Source organism: Homo sapiens, chromosome 18 (assembly GCF_000001405.40).
Source record: "Homo sapiens chromosome 18, GRCh38.p14 Primary Assembly".
Classification (NCBI taxonomy): domain Eukaryota; kingdom Metazoa; phylum Chordata; class Mammalia; order Primates; family Hominidae; genus Homo; species Homo sapiens.
In genome coordinates, this window is record NC_000018.10 from 75,348,642 (window position 1) to 75,360,113 (window position 11,472).

General features: G+C 43.5%; 2 annotated features.

The window, feature by feature from the left end:
• Window positions 744-1,690: an enhancer, noted in NCBI's record as "OCT4-NANOG-H3K4me1 hESC enhancer chr18:73061340-73062286 (GRCh37/hg19 assembly coordinates)". NCBI's record gives its function as "activates a minimal SCP1, AML or CMV promoter by ChIP-STARR-seq in primed H9 embryonic stem cells {active_cell/tissue: H9 hESC(primed)}" and the evidence as "EXISTENCE:reporter gene assay evidence [ECO:0000049][PMID:30033119]".
• Window positions 1,691-2,635: an enhancer, noted in NCBI's record as "OCT4-NANOG-H3K4me1 hESC enhancer chr18:73062287-73063231 (GRCh37/hg19 assembly coordinates)". NCBI's record gives its function as "activates a minimal SCP1, AML or CMV promoter by ChIP-STARR-seq in naive and primed H9 embryonic stem cells {active_cell/tissue: H9 hESC(naive and primed)}" and the evidence as "EXISTENCE:reporter gene assay evidence [ECO:0000049][PMID:30033119]".

Below are 11,472 nucleotides of genomic sequence, written 5' to 3' on the forward strand. Positions count from 1 at the left end.
GTGTGTTAAACCCAGACAGAGTCTGATGTAGTTCTCAATAAATAAATAAAGAACTTTACGGGAGCTTCTCACAGGCACTTTTCAGAATTTCAGAGGCAGTGGCAGTTTCCTACCTAGCAGTGGGAGGGGCAAGGTATCCATTTCTTTTCTCCTTAGCAAGTAAGGAGACACTTGGTGTCCCTCCCAATGGAAGGATATAACTATTGAAACAGGCAGGGACGACTTGGACTGTGTAGACACAATTTGGGTAAAAAATTTTTTTTTTTTTTGAGACAGAGTCTCACTCTGTTGCCCAGGCTGGGGTGCAGAGGCGTGATCTTGGCTCACTGCAACCTCTGCCTCACAGATTCAAGCAATTCTCCTACCTCAGCTTCCCAAGTAGCTGGGATTACAGGTGCCCACCACCACATCCAGCTAATTGTTGTGTTTTTTGTTTTTTTTGTTTTCTTTTTTTTGTATTTTTAGTAGAGATGGGGTTTTGCCATGTTGGCTAGCCTGGTCTCGAACTCCTGACCTCAGGAGATCCACCCACCTCAGCCTCCCAAAGTGCTGGGATTGCAGGCGTGAGCCACCACGCCTTGCTGATTTGTGTAAATTTTTTCTAATGATGAGTTAGTTGACCTGTGGTTGTTACAGTGCCTTCTACACATGGCATTTCTCTTTTTACCAAAACCGTCCATTTGTTGGCTCCCAAAGGAAGGAGACAGGCAAATCTGCCCAACTGTCTCAGTCCCCCACCAACCCATACCCCTGGTTTGCCACTGGACTGACCACAGGCATGCTGATGGGATGGCATTAATGGATATGTAAACAACTGTTTGAATACAAATTTGAGGTAGGCATGCCCTAGCTACATGGCCCTCCTAGAGTTATTTGTCTCCAATCATGGACTGCCTTGGAGAAGCTCTTCTAAAGACCATAGAATGCTTAATTGCAAATAGTTTTCATCAAAATGAATTTGAGCTGTTCCTATAGGCACACTCCTGAGTTGGACCAGAGGTTGATAAGGCCCCCGACCCCAGCTCCAAATTGTTACCCTTTCTAAGCTTCTGAGAGAAGCGAAGGAGACTAGAGTATAGACTTGTTGGTACCAAGACAACAGGCAATTTGAAGTGAGGCTTTTCAGAGGAGGGGGCTCCCTGCTCCCAGGCATTGATCACACGGCGGTGCCCCCCAGCAGGAGCAGCAGCGAGCCTCCGGCGTGTTGGGCTGTGAATAGGTTGTCCTACACTGTCCCTCGATTTTATTCCCAGTTGCTTTTATGTGTCTGTGCTGACTGTCAAGGACTTGGGTGCCCCACGTCCATGTGTGGGAATCCTTCAACGAATCTTCCCTCTTACTGGGCCTGTTTTGCCTGGAAGCAGGTGGTAGAATTCAAAAGGCAAGTGTCCAGAGACTTTTTGTTGCTGTGATTAATTTCCCCGCCTCACTCGGGCTGGCAGGGCCTGCATCTTGACACAGTCGTGGCAGAGTGACCATTCGCTCACCATCCTCTGTTGATCAGATCGGTTCAGAAGTGGGGGCAGGAGATGAATATTTTCTCCTCCTGGATGCCTCTCTCTTCTGGGCTAGGATGATTCGTTTCTCCTCCACAGACAAATGCTGCCTCATTTAAAACTACTTTAATTAATCTTTTTGGAGAAGGAGGTGTTTTGAAAATGTGACAGGCACTCATGAGAGAGATAATGGATGGATGGTGGGCACGTGAGGGGCCCCAGCATGCTCCTCGTGGCGAGGTGGGGTGTGTGCTACATAATTTGGGTAGGATCAAGCCCTCCAGGACAAAAAATGAAAGAGGCATTTAATTGGAACACTTAGCAATCACAAAACCAAGACAGAGGTTAAATTGTTTTGAGCAAGAGAAATTAATACATTAAAGGTTACATTTCCAACTGTGAGGCAGTGAGCTGGGCTCTTCCGCAGTGTCAGAATTACATAAGGCAGGAGAAATGGCTCTGAAATGATTGTGGAATCATTAACAAAAGGCAAGGCAGAGTAAGACACTTCCCAGCAGGAGGGTGCGGAGAAGAATAAAGACATGGAGGGAGCTCATTAAGAATGAATTGCAGACCATAAACATTTGAAACCACTCAGTGTGGAGTTCTATCTGTTATCTAATGACTCAGAAATTATAAAACTCGCAATGACTTTCAGAAAAGGAGTTGACTTTGCAGGAGGTTGTTTGCCATTACACATGCAAAAAGGTATTTTTTTTCAGTTGGGGGAAGATTCTCTTATCTTTGTAAATCAGCACAATTTAAGCAACTTCAGCTATCCTCTGACAGATTTTTCTTCTGTATAATTACACATTGTCTCTGATTTCGTTATAAGCGTATTGAAAAGAATGCGCTGGGCGAGGGAGGGGAAGCAACGGAGGCAGGGGGAGGAGCGGGAGGAGACAGAAGTCCACACCTTGATGTCTCACTACAAATTGACTCTCCACTTTATCTTCAGAAAGATCTGGAAAGCTCCATCCAGAAAGCCTGGCCAGTAAATCCTCTAACATGGATTCATGCTTTGTTTTGATTGAGTAAGGCTCCGTTTGTGCTACTGTTAATTGCATGGTTTGATAGACGAAGAGTCAGGATAAATGAAATGAGATAATCCATCCGTGGTGTTCACTCTCCCAAACCCTTTGCACACCCTCCTCCCCAAAATAAAAAGGAACACTTGAAACTCGGATGATTTAAGACTCCAAACGCTGGCCATGTGTGAACTCTTTAATTTTCCAGAACATTCAGTGCTGTGCTTCTACATGCTCTTTATTTGTAGTTCACCCAAGTCAAAAATGGTAGAAAAACATCAAATCACATGAACAGGCATCACACCCAGGGCTCTAAAGTGCCTTTTGGGAAAATAGATGATGGTCCAGTAATGCGATATCCTTCCGGAAAGAGCAGGGTTCAGAGAAGCTGTGGGAAGCTTTGTAAGGAGCGAACAAGGCTTTCACCAGTCAGTGAGACGCCCAGCCAGCCCTAGTGCTCAGACGGGAGGCATGTGTGTGGACAGCCCTGTGATCAGCTAGCACCATTTCATCTTGTAAGGGCCCCACAAGAAAAGTAGAAGTGGACAAGGCCTGTGTGGCCCTTTCTCAATGCCTTCTGGTCTTGGTTGTTTATCTTTTAAAGTACATAGTAGGGTTAGGCCAGCTTCCTCATCTATCTGGAGCAACCAATGAAAGGGAACAGGATTAAAGTGAATAACGTGATATTTGAATAACTCATTATGTGAAGAATTCACAAGTGCACATGTTCATCACAAAAGTAGGGCTATTAGGATGGAATTAGTGCCTTTATAAGAAAAAAAGAGACCAATGATCTCTTTTTCCATCACATGAGGACACAGAGAGAAGGTGGCCATCTGCAAATGAGAAAGAGAGCCCTAACCAGCCACGGAAGCTGCTGGCACTTTGGACTTCCCAGACTCCAGAACTGTGAAAAAATCCCTATCTGTTGTTCATGCCACCCAGTCCATGGTACTTTGTAATGGAAGTCCCAGCAGATTCATATGGCCCATGAGGTAGGTGAGGGCAAGGTGGCACTCTCCAAAGCAGAGGGCACATCAGCAGTGACAAGTGACATTCAGAGTTTTGTCATTTATGTATGCTGATATGGTTTGGTTGTGTCCCCACCCAAATCTCATCTTGAATTGTAGTTCCCATAATCCCAGGTATTGCAGGAGGAACTATTACCTCTGGAGGGAGGTAATTGAATCATGAAGGTGGTTACCTCCATGCTGTTCTTGTGATAGTGAGTGAGTTCTCATGAGATCTGATGGTTTTATAAGGGGCTTTTCCACCCCTCTACTCTGCACTTCTCCTTGCTGATGCCATGTGAAGAAGAAAGTGTTTGCTTCCTCTTCCACCATGATTGTAAGTTTCCTGAGGCCTCCCCAGCCCGCCCTGCAGAACTGTGAGTCAATTAAACCTCTTTCTTTTATAAATTACCTAGTCTTGGATATTTCTTCACAGCAGCATGAGAACAAATGAATACAGTAAATTGGTACCACAGAGAGTAGGATGCTGCTGTAAAGATACCTGAAAATGTGGAAGCGACTTTGGAACTGGGTAACAGGAAGAGGTTGGAACAGTTTAGCAGGCTCAAAAGAAGACAGGAAAATGTGGGAAAGTTTGAGACTTCCTAGAGACTTGGAGGGCTCAGAAGACAGAAAGATGTGGGAAAGTTTGGAACTTCCTAGAGATTTGTTGAATGGCTTTGACCAAAGTGCTGATAGTAATATGGACAATGAAGTCCAGGCTGAGGTGGTCTCAGATGGAGATGAGGAACTTGCTGGGGACTGGAGCAAAGGTGACTCTTGTGCTTTAGCAAAGAGACTGGCAGCATTTTGCCCCTGCCCTAGAGATCTGTGGAACTTTGAACTTTAAAGAGATGATTTAGGGTATTTTGTGGAAGAAATTTCTAAGTGGGAAAGCATTCAAGAGGAAGCAAAGCATAAAAGTTTAGAAAATTTGTAGCCTAATGATGCAATAGAAAAGAAGAACCAATTTTCTGGGGAGAAATTCAAGCCTGCTGAAGAATTTGCATAAGTAAAAAGGCAGCGAAGGTTATTCGCCAAGACAATGGGGAAGATGTCTCCAGGGCATGTCAGAGACCTTTGTGGAAGCTCCTCCCATCACAGGCCCAGAGGCCTAGGAGTAAAAAATGGCTTCATGGGCTGGGCCCAGGTTTCCTGTGTTGTGTGCAGCCTAGGGACTTGGTGCCCTATGTCCTAGCCACTCCAGCCATGGCTAAAAGGGGCCAAGATACAGCTCAGGTCATGGCTTCAGAAGGTGCAAGCCCCAGGCCTTGGCAGCTTCCACATGGTGTTGAGCCTGCAGGTGTACAGAAGTTAAGAATTGAGGTTTGGGAACCTCTGCCTATATTTCAGAGAATGTAATAAAACACCTGGGTGTCCAGGCAGAAGTTTGCTGCAGAGGTGGAGCCCTCCTGGAGAACCTGTGGAAGGACAGTGTGTAAGGGAAATGTGGGGCCAGAGCCCCCACAAAGAGTCCCCGCTGGGGCACTGTCTAGTGGAGTTGTGAGAAGAGGGCCACTGTCCTCCAGACCCCAGAATCGTAGATCTGCTGACAGCTTGCATCATGCACCTGGAAAAGCCATAGAAACTCAATGCAGCCAGGTCGGGGGCTGTACCCTGCAAAGCCACAGGGTCAGAGCTGCCCAAGACCATGGGAACCCACCTCTTACATCAGCATGACCTGAATGTGAGACATGGAGTCAAAGGCAATCATTTTGGAGCTTTAAGATTTGACTGCCCCACTGGATTTTGGATCTGTATGGGGCCTGTAACCCCTTTGCTTTGACCAATTTCTTCCATTTGGAAAGGCTGTATTTACCCAATGTCTCTACCCCCATTGTACTGTTTTTGCCAATTTCTCCCATTTGGAGAGGCTGCATTTACCAAATGTCTGTACCCCCATTGTATCTAGGAAGTAACTAACTTGCTTTTGGTTTTACAGGCTCATAGGCAGAAGTGACATGCCTTGTCTCAGATGAGACTTTGGATTTGGACTTTTGGGCTAATGCTGGAATGAGCTAAGAATTTGGGGGACTGTTGGAAAAGCATGATTGTGTTTTGGAATGTGAGGACATGATATTTGGGAGGGGCCGGGGTGGAATGATATGGTTTGGCCATGTCCCCACCCAAATCTCATCTTGAATTATATTTCCCATAATCCCTACATGTCATGGGAGGGACCCGGTGGGAGGTAATTGAATCACAGGGGCAGTTACTTCCATGCTGCTCTCATGATAGTGAATGCGTTCTCATGAGATCTGATGGTTTTATAAGGGGGCTCCCCCATTTCACTCTGCACTTCTCCTTGCTGCTGCCATGTAAAGAAGGATGTGTTTGCTTCCCCTCCTGCCATGATTGTATGTTTCCTGAGGCCTACCCAGACCTGAGGAACTATGAGTCAATTAAACCTCTTTCCTTTATAAATTACCCAGTCTTGAGTATTTCTTCATAGCTGTATGAGAATGGACTAACACACACGCCCAGTTGGTGGCTTTACAAATCATATTTTCTAGTCTTAATCAAGATAATGGTCACAAAATAGACAAATGGCTTAATAAATTCTTGCAAAGAAATTGTAGATTATAGATAACACTAATAATGCAGGAATAAGCTAATCAGAAATAGTTAACTTTGAGGTTTCTACTCTTCATAGGAGTGTTTCTTCTTCCAAAACAAAAGTCTAATCTGACAAAAATGTGACCAAAAAATTAAAAATGAGCAGGGTTTGAAATATGTATTCACAACCGTTATCCTTAAGGATGAAGGCTGTTCTGTTCTAAATGTTAGTTATATATATTGTATTTCATGAGTTATCATTTTCAACAATCATGACAAATTCAACAAAATAGAGGCATAAACTGAGTTTTTAACCATTGCTTAAACTATATCATTACAGCTTAAATCAGTGGTTCTTAAACTTTTTGACCCCAGGATATCTTTATACCCTTAATATTTATTGAGAAGCTTAAAGAGCTTTAATTTTTGTGGGATATACCTATTAGTATTTACCACATTAGCAATTAAAACTGAAAACATTTGAAATATTATTTTAGGAATTCATTTAACATATTGCTGTTTAAGTTAACATAAATAACATATTTTTATGAAATAGCTATATTTTCTAAAGCAAAAGAAATATAGAGAGAAGAGTATCATTCTTTACATTTTTTGCAAATCTCCTCAATGTAAGGATTAATACCTATCTGAATTGTTGTATCTGCTTCTGCATTTAGTCTGTTGTGATATGTCGTTTTCATTGAAGTATATGAGGAAAATCTGGCTCATCCAACTACATAGTTGGAAAAGGCAGAAATATCTGAGTAGCCTTTCAGATAATTGTAGACCTTCTTCTTTGATACTACACCAAAACTTGACAAATGGTCGTTCTTACTAGTAACATGGATTCTGAACCTTTGTATCATATCAATGAACCTTCATGTCAATGAACCTTTGTACTCTCTAACATTAAAATCCACTTGTCTATCTTGCACTTTGAATAAATTTTTTATTCATGTATAATTTTGTAACATTTTGCATTGTTTCAAAAATATTTGCCCACTAAACTCTGCAGACCTTCCAAGTGTTGAAACATTTTATTATATACTATCAAAATATCACATTTGTTAGTATCACCCAATCTCATAAGAAAAGTCTTTAAGTTTTGGGAAGCTGTCAAGCTCATGGTGGTAGACAATGTTTTTCAAAATTCTAATTTTCACTCGAAAGATTGAATTTTATCCTTGGCAACAAATGCTGTCAGTTATTTTTCCCTGTAGTTACAGGCTCACTTTGTTCATTTTGAGAAAATGTGTGCCAAATACCCAAATGTGAATAACCATAGTTTTTCTGTCAGTCATTCTTTTGAGCAAAAATGGTGTTCCATGAAAAATGTGGCTGGTTCAGCTCCCAGACCCAACAGTCATGCAAATGCTTTTCCTGGAGACAACATCTTCCTTTGTTGTGAGGCAGAAGTTCCCATTTCATCACTCAGAATATTAAAAAGACATGTATTTGAAGATCAAGATTGAATAATAATTCTTACAGCTTCATCCAGGAAGTGAAATTGGCTGTTTTTTGTAATGTGGATATGACAGTGAAAAATATGACTACTAGTATGATTGTATCTAGATACCCACAGTTTTGTTCACTGTTGATTTCGCACCACCAGAGCAAGGTCCACATAGTGAAAAGAGCAAATAACAACTGGTATTAGGGAAACGATTAGGGAAATCATTTTGACCTCATGGACTGACTGAATGGGTTCTGGGGACTCTAAGTGACAAATCACACTTTGTTAAATGCTGGTTTACAGCAAGATTTTTAAAGGTAATGATGCATATTCAATCATGTTGCCTAATATCAACAAATTAATAAAAATAAATCAGTTTATTAAAAATTTGAGCCATTAGGCCAGGTGCGGTGGCTCACGCCTGTATTCCCAGCACTTTGGGAGGCTGAGGTGGGCGGATCACGAGGTCAGGAGATCAAGACCATCCTGGCTAACATGGTGAAACCCTGTCTCTACTAAAAATACAAAAAATTAGCTGGGTGTGGTGGCAGGTGCCTGTAGTCCCAGCTACTTGGAAGGCTGAGACAGGAGAGTGGTGTGAACCCGGGAGGCAGAGCTTGTAGTGAGCCGAGATTGCACCACTGCACTCCAGCCTGGGGACAGAGTGAGACTCCGTCTAAAAAAAAAAATTGAGCCATTAGTAAGTAAAATAATTTAAAAGATTATTTATTGATATTATTTTGCTCTGTCCCCACCCAAATCTCCTGCCAAATTATAATATGCAATGTTGGGGGAGGGGTCTGGGGAGGTGACTGAATCATGGGGTGGACTTCCTTCTTGCTCTTCTTATGATAGTGAGTGAGTTATTCCAAGATATGGTTGTTTGAAAGTGTGTGGCACCTCCCTCTTTGCTGTCTCTCTCTCCTGCTGCCATGTGAAGACATGCTTCCTTCCCCTTCATCCTTCTGCCACGACTGCAAGTTTCCTTTCTAACGCTGGACCTTCATTTTGCCTTTAGAAGCCTTTGGTGTTCCCGTGACCTTCAGGGAAGAATTCCAGCTCCTTAGTGGAGCACTCATTCCTGGGATCTGGCCACTGCCTCACTGGCCCCTCATGCCCCTGTGTGGAACTCTGCTTTTGCACATGCTGTTTCCTCTTTTAGGAATGCTCTGCCTCACTCTCCACCTGTCCTCTATCCTGGCCTTTTACTCCTCCAAAGCTACTCTCCAATTCCCTACCTGGGTTGACCCCAAACCTTTAAGTATCAGACCAAGTTTCTTCTACTCTTGGAAGATCTGTCTTATGTAATTTTGGGTTCAAACCTTGGTTTTGCCATTTCATATCTTCAGATCTTGGCCATATTACTTACCCTTTTGTAGTTTCAATCTCTTCACCTATGAAAGGGCCTATTTCATTGCTTATTGTGGGGATTAAGTGAGATAAACACTTGTGAAGTGCCTGATACAGCTCCTGGAAAAGACCAGGAGCTCCACTAATAATCATATCTCTCTTGTTGTCCTATCCTCTTAGTTTCTTTAATAATATGCTGCCAATGGGTGCTTACATTCCATTGTGATGATTTTCTTGACACCAGAGCCTTTCCTTTGTTTAATTCTCTAATATCTAGCATGAAAGTAGAATACTGCAAGCCCCCAATAAATGCATGTTAAATGAATAACAAAATGAAATCAGAAGTAAGGAGTGAAACACAGCCTGCACTATTCAACATGGTAGCCAATAGCCACGTGTAGTTTTTAAAATTTAAATTTAAGTACACGTAAATTAAATCAAATTAAAAAGCAGCTTCTTGGTTGCACTAGCTACATTTTAAGCCACATTGGCTTGTGGCTTCCACACTGGGCAGCACAGATGATAGAGCCTTGCCCTCGTTGCAGAAAGTGCTACTGGATGGTGCTGCGACCTTGCATTTTCTAGCTAGTGATGTTGATTTCCTATCTCTCATTCCACAGTAAAAGGCTTGCATGCAAATGCTTTTGCTATGGAAAATAATAACAACACTAATATTAATAGCACATTAAAACTTGGATAGTCAGCAAGCTGCTCCAGAACCCTGTTGGCAGAGCATGTGTAAGATACTATCATGCGTGAGGGAGGGAGGGTCTTGGGACAGCCTACTCAACACTTTTTTTCAACCCAAGCAGGATTATCCTTCTGGACAGGGTGTACGGGGGCAGGAAGAGAGCTCTGTAACTCGGAGACCATCGTGAGCTGATGAGCACTCATTAACTTGACCTGACGTGAGAATGGGAGCAATTTTCATGCCTGTTTTTCTCCGCTCCTGTGTGTAGGCCCAGCGAGAATGGGTATTCAATGGCCTTTGGGGGAGGTATTTGAGCACAGTTTGTGGTGCATGGCACCACTGATGGGTGCCTTTTCCTTAGAAGCAATACAACGTTTCTTTTTCAAGTGAGCCACCCCCATCTCCAAGGGCTGCAGCCCATCTCTACCAGCATGTCTCTGTTGTCATGATGATGCCGAGTTGAAGGACCATTCCAGGAACGCATGATTCATGACCTTCATTTGGTATTAAGCTTCTGCACATACAGTTTTCCAGAAGCGAACTGTGACATCTAGAGTTCATGAGTGGATGGTTGGTGGGAGAGCCACAGTGTCATGGGCTTTTCTCTTGGCTTTGAACTTCCTCTTATGCCTGTGCCAGACTCTGAGTCTGGCCTCATGTCCACTGGCTTTGTTTCCCATTTTCCAGCTCCTTGGATAAGAGGGCACTGTTTGACTCTGTCCTGCCAAGGTAGCAGAAGTCAGGGGCAGCTTTCAAGGTTTCAATGCCAATGAAGACTTCAGTGGCAAGGTGGCCTTCGCTGGATGTGAATCACACAGGACCCAGGCTTTTAGGATGATGAATAGCTACAGCATGGCCCTCATAGGAAATGTGACTCAGTCGCTGGCGGAATTCTTGGGCGAGGGGGAAAGGTGTCTTGGGATCAGGAGCACATTCCAATGCCGGCTCTGGCTCATAGGACGCTAGAGTGGAGAGACATTAGGGGGTATGTAGCTCAAGTGTCTGATTTTATAGATAAAGAGGAAGAGAGCTGGCGAGCTGGAGGGGCTTCCCTGAGGGCACAAAACCAGGGCTGGAACCAAATTTTTTTGACATCCTGTCCTGTGTTCTCAATATGGCATGTGGAAGCTTGCTGCTTCCTCATTAAATCAAATCCTTTGATGTTGATTGTTCTGAGGTTAAGAAGTTTTGTCTCTGCAGCTGAACTATAAGCTTTATGAGGATAGGGACTTTTTTAGTGTTCTTTAGCATCCTGAAGAAATTTACAGTACAGCTAGGGAAGAGAAAACTAACACATACAAAATCAATAAAGAATCATTGTATACTAAACCAAGTGTTGAGTAGAATGGGGATTCAGAGGAAGGAGATATTTGTACGCACTCAAATAATTGGAAAAACTTAGAATCAGATTTGTCTTAAGAAGTGGAAGGGAAGTAAGAAGATGTCCTAGTAAGGGAGTGCACCTCTGAAGGCTTGAAGACTGGGAGGGGAGTGGAAGTGAGACAACACGCTGGAAACAGAGACCTCCCCAAGGAAACTGTGGGAGACAAGGTTGGAAGGTTAGGGTGGCTCAGGCTGTTAGGTGCCATGGAAGCCAGGCTGAGGGGTCTGTGGCAACTGAGGAGCTTCTGGGAGCTTTTGAGCTGGGGAACAGCAGGTGACACGAGCTGGAGGCAGCATCTGGAGGCAGGTGGAGAGGAAGCAGAGGAGGATGTGAAGAGTGCATTGGGAGCTACACAGAGGGGATTTGTCACAGTGAGGAAGGCTGAGAGCTTGGAGGTCCTCCTTAGATAGCTCTGAGTCCAAATCCAAGCTCCACACTTGCTGGCATGACCTTGGGCGGGGAATATTTTTTCACCTGTCCTCAGTTTACTCTTCTGTAAAATGA